This window comes from Homo sapiens, chromosome 14 (genome assembly GCF_000001405.40).
Source record: "Homo sapiens chromosome 14, GRCh38.p14 Primary Assembly".
Taxonomy (NCBI): Eukaryota; Metazoa; Chordata; class Mammalia; order Primates; family Hominidae; genus Homo; species Homo sapiens.
Genome location: NC_000014.9, coordinates 104190868 through 104211021, shown reverse-complemented (window position 1 = coordinate 104211021; position 20154 = coordinate 104190868). Strand labels below are relative to the sequence as shown.

Here is a 20154-nt window from a genome sequence, read left to right as displayed (position 1 = left end):
TGGGTGGCCAGTCATACCCTGGCCCCAGGTCTCTTGTAAGGGAGGAAGGAAATCCCCTCAGGAGACCCCCTGAGCTCCTCCCTGCTGAAGGCCCACCCAGCAATGTGGCCCAGGCCTCGCCCCCCAAGACCCACGCCACAAGGACTCCCCATGCTACTTGGCACCTGGCCTGTCTGGGTGGGCCCCTCCCAGGGGCCCCCTTCTGCAAGGACCAGCTGACTCTTCTCAGCCCCTCCTCATGCACAGACACCCCCCTGGTGCCAGCAGCAATGCCGGGCACTCCCTCAATCCCTCCCCCAGCCCTGCCCCCCGGAACCCCAGGTTCTTCCCTCTGCATCCCAGGGTCCCCACCACTGCCCCTGGGCCCCAGTGCCGCTTCCCCTCTGGGCTGGGACGGGGACACTCCCTGGGGACTCTGAGGCTCTGACACCCCATCCTGCTGGGTGCTAACACAAAATCGCACAAAAGGCATACTGATGGCTGGAAAAGGAGAAGGCGCCAATTCGGTTCACACACGCAGCAACTGAAACCTCAGTTTGACGTTCATTTCAGCAGAGCTGTAATTAAAATGCATTTGGGAAGCACTTACTTGTGTCTAATTAGACCTTGTTGGGTTTCTATGGAGATCCCTCAGTTGTAACAGGAACATCACCATCCACAATAGCCAGCCGTGGGTGAGGGGGCGCGAGCAGACAGAGCCGGGCCACGGCTCGAGGCCTCCATCATGTGACAAACTCCCAGGAGGCCCCCTCGGTGCTCCCTCAGGCCCCCTTGGTGCTCAATTGAGGCCAGGTTGGCCAAATCAGCTCCTGGGGCTGGCTGACTTCCCAAGACGGGGTCCCAGACTCACTGCCCCCAGGATCCCGACTCCATCCACTGCAGAGGGGGCCACCAGGCTGGGGAGCACCGTGCCAAGCCCCAGCACCCACAGCCCACTGGCCCTGCCTCTCTCCAGGAGAGTCCAGTTCCCAGCAGCCTCCCCACCCTTCCCCACACAGAGCAACCTGGGGACATCCGGAGATGGCCGCCACCTAGACTCATCCCCAGGACCCAAACAGACAGATGAACAGAGGGCGAAGGATGCAGGACTCTCCAAAGGGAGCACAAGCGTGTCTTTGGGGCGGACGTCCTGCATCGATTTAGCACCTCTGTCTGTGACCCCCCCCACCCCTGCCGTATGCAGTGTGACCCGCCCCCCAGATGCTGTACGAGGGCCTTGAGGGCTGCCCAAAAAGAGTGGGGAGCAGAGAGGCTGGCAGCACCGAGAGGGGCCACCTCAAGATGTCACCCCATTTTGTTAGTGAGGAAACTGAGGCAGAACAGCTCAGCCCAGAGGAGAGGCAGAGTTCCTGTAGAATCTCACGGCAGTTTACTCTCAAGAGACCCGGCTCTCCAGGCCTGATGGTTATGATGCAGGCAGGCGAGCCCGAAAGTGGAGTTTAGCCCTCTGGGTTTTTGGCTTCACCCAGGAAAGAATGCAAGGGCAAGCCAGTGGTAGAAGAAACAGCTTTACTGAAGCCACAGTGTCACAGCTCTGGTGGTGTCCCGGCTCTGGTGGTGTCCCGGCTCTGGTGGTGTCCCGGCTCTGGTGGTGTCACAGCTCTGGTGGTGTGGCAGCTCTGGTGGTCTCGGAGCTCTGGTGGTGTCCCGGCTCTGGTGGTGTCCCAGCTCTGGTGGTGTCCCAGCTCTGGTGGTCTCGCAGCTCTGGTGGTGTCCCGGCTCTGGTGGTGTCCCGGCTCTGGTGGTGTCACAGCTCTGGTGGTGTCACAGCTCTGGTGGTGTGGCAGCTCTGGTGGTCTCGGAGCTCTGGTGGTGTCCCGGCTCTGGTGGTGTCCCGGCTCTGGTGGTGTCCCGGCTCTGCTGGTGTCACGGCTCTGGTGGTCTCGCAGCTCTGGTGGTGTCCCGGCTCTGGTGGTGTCCCGGCTCTGGTGGTCTCACAGCTCTGGTGGTGTCCCAGCTCTGCTGGTGTCACGGCTCTGGTGGTGTCACGGCTCTGGTGGTCTCGCAGCTCTGGTGGTGTCCCAGCTCTGGTGGTGTCCCGGCTCTGGTGGTGTCCCGGCCCTGGTGGTCTCGCAGCTCTGGTGGTGTCCCGGCCCTGGTGGTGTCCCGGCTCTGCTGGTGTCACGGCTCTGGTGGTGTCCCGGCTCTGCTGGTGTCCCGGCCCTGGTGGTGTCCCGGCTCTGCTGGTGTCACGGCTCTGGTGGTGTCCCGGCTCTGCTGGTGTCCCGGCTCTGCTGGTGTCGCGGCTCTGCTGGTGTCGCAGCTCTGGTGGTGTGGCAGCTCTGGTGGTGTCCCAGCTCTGGTGGTCTCGCAGCTCTGGTGGTGTCCCAGCTCTGGTGGTGTCCCGGCTCTGGTGGTGTCACGGCCCTGGTGGTCTCGCAGCTCTGGTGGTGTCCCGGCTCTGGTGGTGTCCCGGCCCTGGTGGTCTCGCAGCTCTGGTGGTGTCCCGGCCCTGGTGGTGTCCCGGCCCTGGTGGTCTCGCAGCTCTGGTGGTGTCCCGGCTCTGCTGGTGTCACGGCTCTGGTGGTGTCCCGGCTCTGCTGGTGTCGCGGCTCTGCTGGTGTCGCAGCTCTGGTGGTGTTGCGGCTCTGGTGGTGTCCCGGCTCTGCTGGTGTCCCGGCTCTGGTGCTGTCGCAGCTCTGGTGGTGTGGCAGCTCTGGTGGTGTCCCAGCTCTGGTGGTCTCGCAGCTCTGGTGGTGTCCCAGCTCTGGTGGTGTCCCGGCTCTGGTGGTGTCACGGCTCTGGTGGTCTCGCGGCTCTGGTGGTGTCCCGGCTCTGGTGGTGTCCCGGCTCTGGTGGTGTCACGGCTCTGGTGGTGTCACAGCTCTGGTGGTGTGGCAGCTCTGGTGGTCTCGGAGCTCTGGTGGTGTCCCGGCTCTGGTGGTGTCCCGGCTCTGGTGGTGTCCCGGCTCTGGTGGTGTCACAGCTCTGGTGGTCTCGCAGCTCTGGTGGTGTCCCAGCTCTGGTGGTGTCGCAGCTCCGTGACTGCTCCTGCAGGGCAGGGCTTCCCCATAGGCAGGGAACAGCAGCTCAGGACAGTTCTGCCGTCATGTTTTTACCCATTTTTAATGGCATGCAGATTAAGGGGTGGTTTGTGCAGGAATTTCTAGGGATGGGGTAATAGTCATTGGGTCGTTGCCACGGAAAGGGGTGGTAACTCCAGGGTGTTGCCATGGCAATGGTAAACTGACATGGCACACTGGTGGGCAGGTCTGACTGAAAGCTGCTTTCACCTCGGCCCTGTTTTAGCTAGTCCTCAATCTGGTCCAGTGTCCGAGCCCCTCCCCTGGAGTGGAGTCTCACCTCCTCCCTGCGGAGGTAGGGGGAGGGGAGAGGGTGTCAGGGGTGCAGGGGAGCCTGGGGACGTGAGGACCGAGGAGCAGGAGGGGCGACTGCTGGGAGGACATCGCACATGGGGAGGAGGCCTGGCCAGGTGAAGGGTGGGCAGGCGGGAAAGGAGGGGAAGGTCCACCCTCACAGCATCCCCCCAAATGGCTGGGGCTGTGTGCTGAGGGCTGGGCTGTCCTGCGGACTCCCCAGGTGCCACAGTGGCCAGCAGAACTCCTGAGAACTTAGGAGCTTCTCTAACCGAACCCCACACCCACAGACACCCAAGCTGCTCGCCCTGGCTTCCGGGGTGCCGAGGCAGCAGGGAGGCAGACCAGCTGTACCACGTGGATGGCGCAGGACGCTGTGGGCCCTCGTTACCTGCCCTCATTACCACTGTGATATGGCCAGTCGGGCAGACACGGAGGCCCACAAGGGGTTGTCTCAGGGCTGGGAGAAGATGGATCTCAGGGGCAGGCTTGGGCAGGGCTGAGACTACCATCTAGAAAGGATAGGGTACAGGCTGGGAGCCTGGGATGCACCCATGAAAGAGCCCCTGCCAGGCCCAGCCATCCCCATCCATGCCCAGAGCCATCTTCCCTCCCTGATCCAGGCTGACACTGCACCCAAGGCCAGCACCCAGGCGCCCCTCTTCTGAGGGTCCACCAGGAAGCCCCAAGGGCCTGAGCCAGCAGCTCAGCCACTAGAGCTGGGGAAGGGGGTTTCTCTGTTCCTGAGCTGCAGTCTCCTCCCCTGCAAAGGGCCTCGTGTTCCATCCAGTACAGCAGGCAGCAGCCCTGCTGGCTCACCATCTCCCAAGCATGTGGACCCCTTCTCCTGGCCTGACTGGGGCCTGGCCTCCTTTGGCCTCTCCTCCTAAATGAGCAGTCCCCTCACCCTGCTTCCCTTCACACACACACACACACACACACTGTGTGTGTCCATCCATGGGCATGTGCATGCACACTTGCACACAGGCACAGGGGCACACACATGCACACACAGCAGGCCCATCAGGAGCTGCTGGAGGTGGGTCTAATTGCTGAATTTCCATGAGGCCCACACCAGCCCTGGTTAGACTTGTAATTGGACTTGGCACTACCGGGCGCGTGGCTGAGGAAGGCGGTGTTTGATCCTGTGGCTGAGGCTGCCTGGGGAGCCCCGCGCTGGGCGTAATTAGCGTCTCCTCCCTCCCTCTCAGGCTGCGGGCCTCGCTTTCATCTGGAGGACAGGCAGGGCTGCCGGCTCTCATGGCTCCTCCCAGGCCCCACGTGGTGCTCTGTGCTGAGCCCATGTCACCGCCAGCTCTCTGCTCACTGGCCAGCCCTGCCCCCTGATGGTCCACTCCCCAGGGCCAGGACGGATCTGCTCAGGATCTGGCAGTGACTGAGTGGTCACCATTGGATGGATGGCGAAACTGAGGTCCAGAGGAGAGAGTGGGGCTCGAAGGCTGCAGCGAGCCAGGGCTGGTGTCTGCTCCAGGGCTTTCTCCAGGAGACCCTTCTGTGAAGAGGACAGAGATCACCTGGGGGTCACTCTGACCAGGACAGTGTGTGGTGACCAGCAGTGGCCCAGCCCTGCAAGGCCCCAGATGGTGTCCCAGGCTCAGGCTGTGCAGTCGCAGTCGGGGCCTGGAGGCACCAGGCCTTGCAGGCCACTGCAGACCAAGGCACAGAGCTCAAGTTTCTACCCCCAGCTCCCAGCCCTGCACACACACCATGCCGGGCAGGCAAGCTCATGGTCACCCAGCTCAGGGACTCCACTCACCGGGGGCTTGAGCAGAGGAAGGGCCTGGGCCAGCTGAGAGGCCAGGCCCACCCACCTGCTGATCTCGCCTCTCTAGTCCCAGCAGCTCCCCAGAAAGCCCTCGACACTCACAAGTCAGGGTGGTAGATTCAGCTGGAGGAAGCAGCAATGCAGGGCCGTCAGCGTCATGTCTCCCTCCTCCTAGCTGCCAGCCAGCCCTCAGACCTCACCCAGCCCCCAGACCTCACCCAGCCCCAGCCCTCCCGGACAGTGGCAGAGAGCTCTCATCCACTCTCTGTAGACAAAAAATGAGTAAATGTCAGAACTGACAAAGAGAAAGACGGAGGGTCACGCCGGGGAAGGGAGCTGAGAGATCTGCCCCGATCATGCTGCCCCACCCATGAAAGGGTCACAATCACCCACAAACATAGGGCAGATGCGACATGACACCTGGGGAGGGTGCCAGCAAGCAGCAAGGTGAGTCCATGACCAGATGCATCCAGGACCCTCCAGGATCTAAGGTGTGTGCTTGGACCAAGGTGCTGCGTCCGTGGCTTGGCCTTCCCCGTAAGCAGAGGACATCTCAGCATGGGGCAACGTCCCTCAGGTCACCTGTCCCTTGCCCCCTACACTGCCACTCTCCTCCCCCGAAGCCCTCACCCCAGGATGCCCTGCCCCTGCCTGGCTCACTGCCTGTCAACCCTCAAAACACCAGACCCAGTCCTTCCTGTGTCCTCCCAGGGCAGACACCCGGGTTCCGAGCTGCATTGGGGCACCCTCTGGACCTTTCCAGTTCCTGTTCTCCCTAAGGGCCCACAGCACTCTGGACCATAATGGCCTACATGGGCTAGTGACCAGTGGGCTAGGCCCTAAACTGGGCATGGTTCTGTTGAAAGAGGTAACGGGTGAAAAGAAGGATGACTAGGTGGATGGATACGAAAGGAAGGAAAGATGGATGGATGGATGGATGGATGGATGGATGGATGGATGGATGAACAGATAGGTGGATGGATGCATGGATGGATGGATACAAGGATGGATGGATGAACAGATGGGTGGATGGATGCATGGATGGATGGGTGCATGGAAAGATGGATGAACAGATAGGTGGATGGATGGATGCATGGATGGATGGATGCATGGAAGGATGGATGAACAGATAGGTGGATGGATGCATGGATGGATGGATGCATGGATGGATGGATGCATGAAAGGATGGATGAACAGATAGGTGGATGGATGCATGGATGGATGAATGGATAGATGGATGGATGGATGGACAGATGGATGGATGGATGGATGGATGGATGGATGGATGGATAGGTGGATGCATGGGTGGATGGATGGAGGATGCATGGATGGATGGATGCATGGACAGATGGATGAAGAGATAGGTGGATGTATGCATGTATGTATGTATGGATGGATGGATGGATGGATGGATGGACGGATGGATGGATGGATGGATGATGCATGGATGGATGGAGGATGCATGGATGGATGGATGCATGGATGGATGGTTGCATGGAAGGATGGATGAACAGACAGGTGGATGGATGCATGGATGGATGGATGCATGGATAGATGGATGAAGAGATAAGTGGATGGATGGATGGATGGATGGATGGATGAACAGATAGGTGGGTGGATGCATGGATGGATGGATAGATGGATGGATGGATGGATGGATGGATGGATGGATGGATGGATGGATGAACAGATAGGTGGATGGATGCATGGATGGATGAATGGATAGATGGATGGATGAATGGATAGATGGATGGATGGATGGATAGACAGATGGATGGATGGATGGATGGATGGATGGATGGATGGATGGGTGGATGCATGGGTGGATGGATGGAGGATGCATGGATGGATAGATGCATGGACAGATGGATGAAGAGATAGGTGGATGTATGTATGTATGTATGGATGGATGGATGGATGAACAGATAGGTGGGTGGATGCATGGATGGATGGATGGATGGATGGATGGATGGATGATGCATGGATGGATGGATGCATGGATGGATGGTTGCATGGAAGGATGGATGAACAGACAGGTGGATGGATGCATGGATGGATGGATGCATGGATAGATGGATGAAGAGATAAGTGGATGGATGCATGGATGGATGGATGGATGGATGGATGGATGGATGGATGGATGAACAGATAGGTGGGTGGATGCATGGATGGATGGATGGATGGATGGATGGATGGATGGATGGATAGATGGATGGATGCATGGATGGATGGATGGATGCATGGATGAATGGATGAATGGATGGATGGGTAGATGAATAATGTAAGATAGGATAGCTCAGTGGAATAAAGGAAGGCAGCAAGGAAGGGAGGGAGAAAGGATGGGCATGAAAGGAGGAAAGAGACTAACCAGAGAACTCCCCACTACGACAGAGAGCTTCTCCCTCATGATCTCCCTGCTGCGGCCCCGTGAGGCCAGCCTGCGAGGCATCCCCAGCACTTTCCATCAGGAGCTCTCCTCTGATGGCAGCTTCAATGCACCAAACTGCATCGTCCTGGCTACTCTCCTGCCCACAGCCCTGTGGGATAGAACAAAGGGGCCCATGGAAAGGCCCCAGCACCCACTGCCACCACCAGGTGTGGCATGGCCAGGAAGCACAACCCAAGCAGGTGCTGGCAATGCTCGCTAATCCCTAAAAACAGCTGCGCTTCCTGCAGCCCCAAACTCCTGCTGCTGGCTTTAGACATGGGAGCTCTCTGGTGGGCTGTGACCCAGGCACAGACGGGAAAGGGGCCCGCACCCCATGGATGAGCCTGCAGGAGTCGGGAGGGCTGGAGAGCCAGGACCGTGGAGGCCAGGGAGGGAGCCAAGGAGGCGGAGACAGGAACACACCCCTGTCCTCCTCTGGCCTCTGACCCTGTTAGCACCTCTGCCTCCTACAGCCTCCTGGGCACAAAGGGGCCAAGGGTGGGTTTGCAAAGCCATAGCACGTCTCTTCCAGGCTTTCTCTGGTTCTCCTAGCTGAAAGTAACCTCTGCTTTCTCTTTCTAGAACTTTCTCTGCCCTCTCTCATGCCATGTGTTACTCTTGCCTTTTTGCCAGCATCATCTGTGCAGCATCTTGTAACCCCATCCCCACCCCATGTGCTCCCTGAAGCCCGGGCATCCCCGGTTTCCTGTCTTGCTAACACTCACCCAGGGAGCAGCCCGCAAGCACCTTGCCCATCTCTGTCTCCAGGCGTGTCCTACAGAGAGGAGTACCCTAAGCTGGAAGGTGACCCATCTGCCCCCTCTAACCATCAGCTGTCGGTCAGTCCTCATCCAGCTCAAATAAACGATCCCACGCATGCTCCCACACACACTCCCACGCACACCCGGCACACATGTGTCCCTGTAATTAGCAGGACCTGATGCCAGTCGTAAAAGCCCCCGGAGCTGGGGAGCTGCCGAGCGTGACAATCTGCCTCCACGCGGGTGACGCCAAGCACCCCCAGGACGGCCATCGGGAGGGCTGGACAAGCCGGCGCTGGGCTGCCTGATGCAAATGAGACCCTTAACAGTTGGGCTGGGCGCCAAGCTGCTTGGCATTCACCAGGCTGTCGCCAGCACGGCTCCATGCTGGCGGAGGAACTGCCCGGCTTAGCCCAGAGACTCGTGAAGGGCCAGCAGCAGCTCCCCACAGCTCAAGCACAGCAGGAAGAGGATACGGAAGTGCTCCCCATAAAACCCCACACCTGCCATGCTTCTGTCTGAAACCACGCACGTGCTGCCCGCTGGGTGAGGGCCAGCTGTGCCACCAGCCTGGCAGAAGGCAGGCAGGCGTCTCTGCCTTGGGGACCCCAGAAGCCCGCTGAACTCACCCAGGAAGCCTCAAAGCCAGCTCAGAGGAAGCTGCATCCGTGTCCCCTCTACCAGCTACACACATCCCAGACTCTGTCCAAACTAAATATGTAACAGCCAGGGAGAGGGCCTGGGCTCTGGGAGGAAGCAGTGACGGAATCGGTTCAGAGAAGAAATCTGAACAGCAGCTGGTTTCCACTCTTCACTGGGGAGAAAAATCACTCAGAGATCCCTAGTGCAAAGAGGTGGTGGGCCAGGTGGGGCTGGGGGCTGCAGGGCTGGTGTCAGCGAGGCCCCCAGAACCCTCTGTCCAGGGCAGGAGACGGACCATCCACAGTCTCCACCGCCTCGGCACCCTTTCTCCACCTTCACCTCCTGTGGCTCCCCTCCTGCTTCTCTGAGGACAGATGCACCCCTGAAGCTCAGTGACACCCAAGGCCAGGCAGGAACCACAGACCAGCCGGGGCCTCAGTTGGGGCCTGTCCTGCAGAGTCCTGTATCGGCGGCACGTGGACTGAGGCAGAAAAGGGGTGTGGCGGGGGTGCTCCACACCTTGTCTCTGGCAGCACCTGTGGGGGGTGGCAGGGCCCATGGCTGGAGAAGGCCCCCTCTCTGCACTTGCTGGGCCCCTTGGCCTCAGTTTCCCCTCCCTGGAGTGCTCATCTCTGCAGCCCAAGGTGAAGGCTGAGATGAACCCGCTCCTGGGTCTTCCAGGGAGGGCCTGGCCAGCGCACAGACAGGCCCAGCTGCCTGCAGTGCCAACAGCCTTGGTTGCAGCAGTCCCCCAGGGTGCCACTCACGTGCCGGAACCCCATGAGGGACACCCTGCCTGGCATGACCAGCTGGAGGTAACCATCCATGAAGCACCCAGCGCAGCTCCTCGGCAGCACCAGCCAGGAGGGGCCAGCTCTAGCCCAGGCCTTGTGGCAGCAAGGAAGCCACAGCCACCACGGCCAGTCACACACGGGGCCGCACCGAGCCCCGGCCACGCCTCCCACCCACTGGGTGCACTGTGGCTGCCGGAGTGGGACTCAGGCTCAGACTCAACTGGAATGCAGCCGCGGAGCTGGGGCGCTTTTCTGAGACAAAGGCCTGGGGCGCCCCACACTCCCTCTGCCTCCTTCCTGAGGGGTCTGTACTTGGAGGCCCCAGGCACAGACAGGCCCTGCTGCCAGGACACAGAACACCTCCCGGCTGATGCCCCCACCAAGATCAGGCTGGACACAGGCCCTAATCCACGTCCCCATCCACAGAGGGTGCCCAGGTGCCCGAGCCTGGCCAGGCCTCTGCTAAGAGGCTCTAATTGGCACGTCCAGAACCGGGCAGGCCCAGGGGTCTCTCCCAAGGGTGTGGAGGGCCCAGAGCAGGTGGGGGAAGGGTGCATTACGGGTGGGGCCCATCGCCCCTGCTCTGGAGCCTGCACCTGTGACCTTCAGACCCTCAAAGCCTTCCTGTTGTCCCAGAAGTGGGGGCACCGGCATCTGTGAGCCGAGATCACACCACTGCACTCCAGCCTGGGCGACAGAGCAAGACTCCATCTCAAAAAAAAAGGTGACTAAATTAAAATGAGGCTGTTCATGGGCCCCAATCAAATCTGGCTGGTGTCCTTCGAAGAAGATATTTGGACACCAGGGTCACATGAGTGCACAGAGGGAAGGCCCCGTGAGGACACAGCACGGAGGAACCGTCGGCACACCCAGAAGACAGGCCTCAGCAGACAGCAACCCGCCAGCACTTTGAGCTCAGACTTCCAGTTTCCAGAACTGTGAGCCACAAAGGTCCGCTGTTTCAGCTGCCCCGTCTGCGCATTTGTTACGAAGGCCCAAGCAGACGAAGGCAGATTTTGGTATCAGGCATGAGGCCAAGGCCCAGGCTGCACAGTAGGCAGATGGGCAGGGGGACGACACTTAGCTCCTGACTGTGGCCGCCAGGACCCCAGGCCCAGACACCCCCACGGCCTCCAGCCCCACCCCCACCCCTACCCTCACCCCCACCGCAGCTCCTGCCCAGCCCCACCAGCCCTGGGAACATGGAGGACCAAGCCCCCTCCCTTCCCCAGCCCACTCCAAACCAGCCTTTTGCCAAACATAGTCAATAAATTATTCAGTTTGCAGAATGCCATTATGTGTGAGTTTACTTAATTGAATAGAATAATTTATGGTAAAACCTGGGGAAAGAAAGATCAATGAGGAATGGCACGGAAGAATGATTGAGTTTCAGTGAAGGCAATTTGATTTTTATCCCTCATTATAATAATGTTAAGGGGAAAACATCAACTTGGGACAGAATCAATATTTGCAGAGTGGCTGGACCATGAATTTTAACTGGAGGTGGCCGGGCGCGTCAATAATTAATGCCATGTCTGCCACCACAAATAACGGCTTCGTTTGGGTACAAATGCCCCCTACCCGCAGATTTGCTGGCGATCATAAAAGATAATTTAGGAACAAGGCTGTTGGTGGGCGTGTGCAACACCCCCAGTGTGATTCAGGACGCAGCCACACATCGGCTTCCCCACAAATCACCCCGAGACAGCTGGTGCACAGCTCCCCACCTCTTTCCTGAGGGTTCTGCGTTGGTTGGTCACCAGCCCAGCAGCCGGTGCCAGGCCAGCTCCCAGTGCCCTGACCTGCTCAGCCTGTGTCCAGGCCACGCCCAACTCACCACACTGCATCTCAGGTACCCAGAAAACGATGATGGGCAGCTCGGGGACAGCAAATCCCAAAGCGAGAAGCACAGGGGCCACCCACCAGCCGTGGGACCCCGAGCACCGTGCCTCTACCCTGAAACCTTGCCAGAAAGAGAAGGACACCTCTGCCGCTCCGTGTCTGGGAGAATCGGGGACAGGCAGGTCTGCATAACGGATGCTTGTTCCTGCTGCTGCTGTTCTCTCACTGAAAAGCGTGTCCTCATCGAATGTGTTTGGTCCGGAGGACTATGCCATCCTTGTATGTAGGTGCAGGTGCAGACACCACGGATCCATCCCACAGGTCTAGGAGAGCAACAGAGTTGCCTGAGGCACCCCCAAGAGTGACTTGCTAAGCCCAAGTCCCCAAGCTTCCTGCACCCCAGCACCAGAGCCTCCCTGAGCCCCCCAGGCAGCCCTTCTGACGCACACATGCGCCATGTGCTCCAGGCCGCCTGGGGCTGCTTAAACACAGACTCCAGCACAGCCATTCCCACTTTATGGATGTGAAAAATGAGGCTAAGGAAGGCTGAGGGCCTTGCCGGCAAAGATGTCAGAGCCAGACTCGGATCTGCCAGATGCCAATATCCCACCCTCTCAACAGACATGGCCCTCCAGATGCCACTTATGGGGACAGCTCTACGCAGGGCTCTGCAGCAGGCAGGAGGCAGATGCCGCCATAGCTCTGGTGACCTGGCAAAGGGTCCTTTGGGGACAGAGTCCATCTGCCCCAAATGGAAAGCAGCAGGCAGCTATCGGCCTCCCAGGGGAGAGGATGGGGCCAGTGGCTGGACTCCCTGGGCAACCTTGGGTACAGTTCTCTCCATACTCACCTGACCCACGGAGTCATTTCTCAGGGCCTCTCCAAGCCCTCGGGGTCACCTAAGCCTAACCTAGGCTGGGCTCCGGGGAGATGGGTCACGTTCCAGGACACACCTTCTCAAATGCAGCCCCAACAGACAATACAGCAAACTAGAGAGTCACTGCCACTGAGGGGAGCCCTGTCCATCAGGGTATCCTCCCCTGCAGAGCAGCCTGGCCAAGCCCAGCCCAGCTCAGGCTCCGTTGAGACCCAAGTGGCCTGAATGCCTCCAAACCTGTGCAGACATCACAAGCATATCTCCCATGCTGTAAGCAGTAAGGAAGTCCACAGATGCCTCTCCCAAAGGCTAAAAGGTCTACAAGGGCAGGAACCAGGTCTACCTCATTTCTATCACCCCCATTCCCAGCCCTGAGTCCAGCACGAAGCAAGTCTTGATTGCCATTGGATAAGTGGGTGGATAGGTGGGTGAGTAAATGGATGGATGGAGAGAGAAAGGGAGGGAGAAATGGAAGGATGAATGGAAAGAGGGATGGATGGATGGATGGATGGACAGATAGATGGATGGATGGATGAGCAGGTAGGTGGATAAGTGGGTGGATAGATGGATGGGTAGAAGGAGAGAGAAAGAAAGGAAGGAATGGGTAACTGGGTGGGTGAATGGAGGGAGAGAGGAAGGGTGAGTGTATGAATGGGTGAGTGGATGAAGGAATAGAGGATAGCTGGTTGATGGATGGGTAGATGGATGGACAGATGATGGATAGATGGATGAATGGATGAATAGGTGGATGGATGGCGGATAGATGGACGACATATGGATAGAAGGATGGGTAGACGATGGGATGAACTGATGAATAGAGGATGGATGATGGATAGAAAGATAATAGCTAGACGATGAATAGATGGATGGATAGATGAAAGATGGATGATGAATGGATGAATGATGGAGGGATGCTAGATGGATGATAGATGGATGAATCATGGATGAATGGATAATAGATGGATGAATGAATGATGATAAATGAATGGATGATGAATGAATGGATGATGGATGATGCCTGGATGATGGATGATGGGTGGATGGATGGATAATGAGTGGATATATGGATAGATGATGGATGGATGGATGGATGGGTAGATGAGAGAAGGGCTGAGGCAATAGATGGGAGTATGAAAAATAGATTGGCGAATGACTGACAGACTGAGAGAAAGGATGAACAGAGAGATAGGTAGATAGATGGGCATATGGGAGAGGGGGTTGGCCCCAGGACAGCAAGGACTATACTTGTACTACTTCCTGTCATCAAGTGGGCACTGAATAGATATTTATCAAGTGAATAATAAAACAGTGGACAGGGAATGGTGGGTTGGTGGAGTCGTGAGGACAGCAATTCCACCCCATCTCACCACTGGGATCAACCTCAAGGCCAGCATCCCAGCCCCCACTTCATCCAGTGGGGATGGTGAGGCCCAGAGAGGGGAAGGGGCTCTCCCAAGGCCTAACAGCATGTCTGAGCAGGGCTGGGGCAGCCAGGCCCCCACCTCTCCACCAGGCCCTGGTCCTTGACCCAGCCCTGCCTCTCAGTCCCCATGGGTGCAACAAGTTCCTGCAGTGAGCTGGGGGCTGAGACCCTCCCTTGCCTTTCTCAGCCTCTGGCCCAGCTCCAGGCAGGCGATGTCTGCCCAACCTTGGAAGGAGACCAGGGAGCCGCTGCCTGGCAGAGAACATCACCAGCTTCGCTCGCAGACCCACAAGTGCATTCATGTTTCGTCCTGGCTGCAAGCTAACTGCAGACACCCCACTCACACCAGGTTCTTGTCAGGGGCACCTGTGGGCACGGGACAAGCAAAGGCAGAAATGGGGGGTGGATGGACTGCCCGGAACACGCTTCAAGAAAGAAAAGGAAATGAAAGTCAGTAGACCAGAACCCCGTGGCTGCCTCCTTCTAGCCCGGCACCACGGCCCCGCCTCCTGCACCCTCCTTCCCGCCCAGCCATGACCACGGCCACCTTCCCCCTTCCTTGCCTTGGCCTGTCCTTGGTAAGCTCTGCCCTAATTTAGACACCACCTCCCCTGCCCTTGCCTTCTCTTTCTCTACCTGGGCTCATCCTACACACCCTCTCCCCACCCTAAGGTGTCCCACCCACCCCCCTCCAAAGCACCTTCTCCCCAGCCCCCACAGCGGTGCTGGTAAATGTTTTAACAACTGGCTCAGAGAAAAGAACAGATGCTTGTGTATGCGAATGCACGTTGATTATACATGTTACCGCCATGAAAGACCTGTACACACAGTTTAGAAATAACACAAACAGATACACAACTCTCCCTGGTGAAGTCTGAGCCCTGAAGGCTCCTTGGCTCTGCTCTCATTTCCAGCCAGCCCCGCAGCTGCCACTCCCGCGAGTCAACAAAGGAAGCCAGGTCTCTTTTCCCAAGAAGCTCATTGTCGTGAGGTCTGATGTGTGCTCTCTGTTCAACGACCGCCTATCTCACCCTCACACCAATTTCACTCATTCAACGGGAACCGCCAGCACTGCAGATTGCAGCCGGGCTGACTCTTGTTAGCTTTCCGCGCCGTGGCGAGAACGAGGACATGATCTGATTCTACACTATTGAATGACAAATCTGTGGAACAACTGGCTCCTGTCAGCCAGCAGGAGCCGGCCCCCAGCATGGCCTCCCCAACAGCTCCCGGCAAGAATGAAGGATGAATTAACGAGCTGGTGAGTGCATAGGCAGCCTCTGCCTCAGCCCAAAGCTTCCACCTGGAGCTGCCTATGGGACACGTCCCCCGGACCACCCAAAGCATCTCAGACCCAACCAGGCCCCCAAACCACGCTGGCCTCCTGTGGGCCCAGGCCCCACGCCTCACCCTTCCGCCAAACTCAAGCTGCCTCTGCCATGCCGGATGCCCCAGCCTCCTTCACCCCACAAGCCTGCCCTGCTGCTGCCCACCATGCGGCCCCATCTCCAGCTTCCGCTCGTCGCCCAGCCTCACCTGCGTCTCCTGGGGCTGTTTGACTGCTTTTCATTCTTTTACTCCTCGACTGCCCCGTCTGCAGGAGAGGGCTGTGAGGTCAGCCGGCCAGGACAGGGTTCCCTCCACAGCCTCTCACCCACCCCGGAGCGATCCAGGGGTCTGCTGAGTTCCCCGGGCAAGAAGCAGCCCGGCCTGCCCTGGGCCCAGCAAGCTAAGGCCCGGGGACACCCAATGGCTGTGGGTCCTTTCTGTGTTTCAGACTCAGATTCCCTGGGATGGGTGATGCATCAGAGTCCTGTCCAGCATGCAGGGCCTCATCCCACCCTCTCCCTCCCACTCAGCCTCCCGCACCACCCTTCCCTGCCTCACCCCATGCCCCCAGCAGTCTCTGACGCCCCCAGAATTGGAAAGGGGGTGGTTTGGGAAGGAGAGACCCTGCTGGTGGTCTGGGCACAGGTGGGACTTCCAAACCGCAAGCAGCCCCTGCTGCTGTCCCTGGGGTGTCTCTGACTCCCGCCACTACTACAGGGCACCTGTCTCAGGTGGGCTGCTGTCCTTGGCCGCACGAGAACTCTGCACAGGGTCTTCACTCCTCGCTGTGGCCCGGTCCGCTAGCAGGAGGGTCTGCGTGTGCAGAGTGGTCTATGGAGAGACCCCAGGGCAGGGACTGCGAGGGGGCTCGTTGAAAGGACCACTGTCCAGTCCCCAAGAGTGAACACCAAGCAGGGGGGCCAGCATGCCGTGCCCCCCTTGGCCCCATCCTCAGCCTGGCATGCTGGGCCCTGCCTGGCCGCCCCCACAGCTCAGCCAACAGTAGAGCTCAGCCCTGGCCTCACCGAACACAGACATCCCCTGAAACAGACACCTGCCAGAAGGACCCTCACCCCTGCATCTCTGGTTCTCTCTGCCCTTCCAGGTTCCCCTAAGCACCTCCTCTTCCGGGAAGTCTTCCCTAACCACCCCTGGCCCAGATGGAAGCACTTCCCTTCCTCTGAGTCCCCCGCACTTTCTCTGCCTCTCTACTGGCCTAATCGTCTGCTAGACCATCAGTCACCTGCTGGACCGTAGGTGACACCCTGGACCGTAGAAGCTCTTAAGAGTCTTAAGAGCTTCAGTCTACACCTGACTTCCCTCCCTCAACACAGCCCTGACACAGCACGAGCTGAGAGCTTAGGTCTAGGGAACTAAAGAAGAACTAGAAAAGTCTGGCTTCACTGAGCCCACCATGTGCTGGGCACCGGGGATCATCACGCACACCACCCACTTCACCCTCCAGGACGAGGGACAGCTCTCCCCATTGTCCAGAAGAGGAAATCGCTGCCCAGCAAGGACAGAGCTGAAGGCCCAGCCTAGCCTCGCTGCTCCGGAGCCCTGGATGGGCAGGTGCCCTGCCGTCCGGAACCCACGGCACCCAGCCAGGACCATGGAGAGACAGGCACCTGCTCCAGGATGGCACATCCACACTCCTGAGCTGAGGAGATTGTGGAGCCAAGACTGTCTCTGCAGAAGCCGTTCATCCACCCCCTCCCCTCTGCCCAGCCCTGACCCCTCATGGCTCAGGGTGCGCGGGCCACCTCGGCCAGAGGCCTTCCCAGCGCTGAACTGTGCAAATATTTGTTTCTTTAAGAGAAAAGAAGACCCTCTGGTACTTCCAAGGGAGCATAAATGGGGCCCCAGGAAACCCCACCAGGATATGGGGCTGGCTGATGCCTGGAAGCAGCTCAAAGCAAACCAGGTAATTACCAAAAAACCAGGTAAAAACCAAAAACAGACCAACCAGAGCAGGACCTGACTTCATGGTGAACAAATGTTCTTTGTGTTTTTAAGTGAATGCTGCATTTTAAGCCAATCCCTTCCCACCTGCCCCCGCCACTGCCATGCTCCCCCTGTGCCCAGGTCACCTGGACAGAGGCTCTTCCTGGACCAGCCCTGAGAGCTTGAGGGTCCCGACCCTGCCATGGCACTGGGGCTGGGTGGAGGCACTGAGGGTGAGGAGGGAACCCAAGTTGATGCCCCGGTTCCGGAAGAGGATGAAACAGGGCCCCCAGGAGGGGTGCACAGGGGAGAACAAGTCTGAGAGATCTGGGGGCCGGAGGGACATGGGGCAGATACCAGAGAAACGATGGAACTGCAGATGTGGGGCACAGGGATGGGGTCTGGGGGCCAAGGTGGCCCAGGGGGACGTGAAGCCCCAGGGCAGGGGCAGGTGGCCCAGGGAGAGTGCAGGGAGGAGGACAGGGCTGAGGGCCACAAAGGGACAGATGAAAGACACATCCACAGGGTGGGGGGGAGTGGCCGGGGTGGGGGCCGAGAAGTGGGCACAGATGCCAAGAGAAGGGCACCAGGGCTCTGCCTTTGAAGGCTGTGAGATCTCGCCCAGCAGAGGCCTCGGTGGTTGGGGAGGAGAGGGCTGAGCAGCCTTGCGAGAGGAGACCACCCCAGCCTTGATTTCCCCAGGGGTGCACTGGGGTAGGTCCCTGGGAGTGGGCTGGGGTCTCCCACAAGGCCTCCCTGGGGGCTGGGAGCTCATTTGCGAGTCTGCTCAACCTGCCCCGGCTCTATGTTCACACCCCATGTATTGCCACCCGACGCCACGATGCCTGTGCCTGGTGCGCTGCTGCTAGAAGCTCTCAAGTGCGGCGGAGCCCCCTCCTCACCCAACTCACAGCAAAGGGAGCAGGAGAGAGAGCAGGCCAACCAGCCACAGGCAGGGGGCATCCCCACCCCTGCCTCAGCTCTGGGTGAGGCCCTTGGGAGACAGAAGCAGGACAGCCCCCAAGAGCTGGGCAGAAAGACGAGGGCAGAGGGCCCCGGGTAGCTGAGCCTGAGATTGGGGAGCTGCCTGGAGCAGGGAGCCAGGTACACACAGGGGCAGGGCTGTCCCCAGACCAAGACCTGCCCACAGGCCTCAGCAGGCACATCCCATGTGCCAGCCCGCCCAACGCCCAGCCCCTTCCTTTTCCCCTGCCTCCAGCTCATTCCTTGCCCCCAGAAGCCAGAGCCTGTCCCACTGACCCCACCATCCCATCTGAACCACCACCCAGCTGCTCCAGCTGGCCAGGCTGTGGGTGCTGAGCTGTTCTGAAGAGTGAGGGCACCAGGCTCCCGGAGGAGCCCTCAAGGCCAACCAGTCTCAGGAGCAGGGGCAGAGTCCATGCCGAGTGCGAGGAGACCCCTCTGCCCCTCTGCAGTGCCCCTCCGGCTCCACCAGGCTCACCCCAGGGGCAGACGCAACCCAGTGTGGCCCCAGGGTGGGTCTGGCCCTCCTTGTGGCCGCCCGTCCTCCTGCCCAGACCCAGGGCTCTGCTGCGAGGCGAGGCAGGGAGAGGCCTGGCTCTCCTTCCTCCCGTCAGCCTTGCACAGGCCGGCCTGCCCTGGACCTGGCCTTCCTGGTCTGTAACACGGGGTGACACGGATACCTGCCCACGCCTGGACATGGAGGGGCCCCGATAAATCCCCGTGGCAATGGCAGCAAATAGTCACTGCCCTAGAGAGGACCAGGCAGCAGCTCCTGGTGCCCCCACCCTGTGCCGCTGGCTCCGGGCACTTCACAGGCCTTTTTCTATTTCCCAGGCTCCATGTTGAGTCCACACAGCTGGTGGGAGCAGAGCCTGGCCGTGGACCCGACGGGAGGCTGCACTGTGCACACATCATCCTACCCCTGTCCGTGCCATCCCCATTGGAGCCAAATCCATTGGCGTTCCTTATGTGCCAGGCACCACTAAGCTGCATACTCCGGGTCAAATCATCTAACTGAGCCCCAGTGAGGTAGGGGTGAATACGGATCTCCAGTTTCAGAGGAGCACAGAGAGGTTCAGTAGCACACCTGGGGTCACACAGCAGGCAGAATTTGCACTCAGATAGCCCAGCTGGTCTGGGCACTGAGGCCAGTCACTGCCCGACACTCCGTGTCTCTGTGACACTAGGTGAGCCCCACCCAGGAACGGGAGGCAGGAACTGGCAGGCCCTGGGCCGTGTGGTCCGTGCAGGTGGGTTCCCAGGCAGAGCCGCCTCTCCCTGCGGTGCTGCTCTGTGATGGACCCGTCAGACCCAGGAGGTCAGCCCCGATGGCCGCCTCAATCCGCAATTGCCGTTCAGCTGACAGCAGCGTGGATTTACGAGCAGCCCTCTGCCTCCCCACGGTGGCCGAGCCACCATGCCCACCCCAACCTGGGACCAGTCCTCAGACCTCCTAGGGTCTTGGCCCACACGTCCTCTGTTCCCCTGAATGCAGGTGCAAGGGGAGGCCCCTGCCTGCATTCCCCACCTCTGCCTCTCACCCACCAAAACTTCTTGCCCCAAAGCCTCTGCTCTCCCCATTCAGGGACCCACCCACCTCCACTGTGCAGGGAGCCCTAAGCCTCCAAGTTCCCATTTCCATAATGGGGAAACTGAGGCCCAGGGGGCTGAGGTCACAGGTCGGAGCTGGCTCCTGCAAGGCCAGGCTGTGGCTCTCGCCAGACCTTTCCAACCTCCACCCTTTAAAGTGCAAAAATCAAAGGTCAGTGTCATTTCACCAGTGCGAGGCCAAGGGGCTTTCCTAGGTCACAGGGCAGTTTTTGATGCTGAGTCTGGGAGTACAGCCCACCTCTGCAGCCTGGCTCATGGCGGGGAGCAGGGAGGAGGCACGGGATGGAGGCAACTGGGGTTCAGGACAGTGAGCTGCAGGCCCGACCAGCCCCACCCTCTGCCCCCAGGGCAGGAATCAGGAATGGAGACAGCTAGCGTGGACCCCCGGCCTCCCCAGCACTCCCACCTCAGCCTCT

The 20154-nt window shown here is 59.4% G+C and overlaps 1 long non-coding RNA gene across 1 annotated transcript; it reads right to left on the bottom strand.

Moving 5' to 3' along the window:
• Positions 1-1221: 1221 nt before the first annotated feature.
• On the bottom strand, positions 1222-5398 carry LOC124903393 (uncharacterized). Its single transcript, XR_007064359.1, has 3 exons — positions 5206-5398; positions 4430-4830; positions 1222-3004 (listed from the first exon to the last, which is right to left on the bottom strand). It is a non-coding gene; the product is annotated as an uncharacterized LOC124903393 (long non-coding RNA).
• Positions 5399-20154: the final 14756 nt, after the last annotated feature.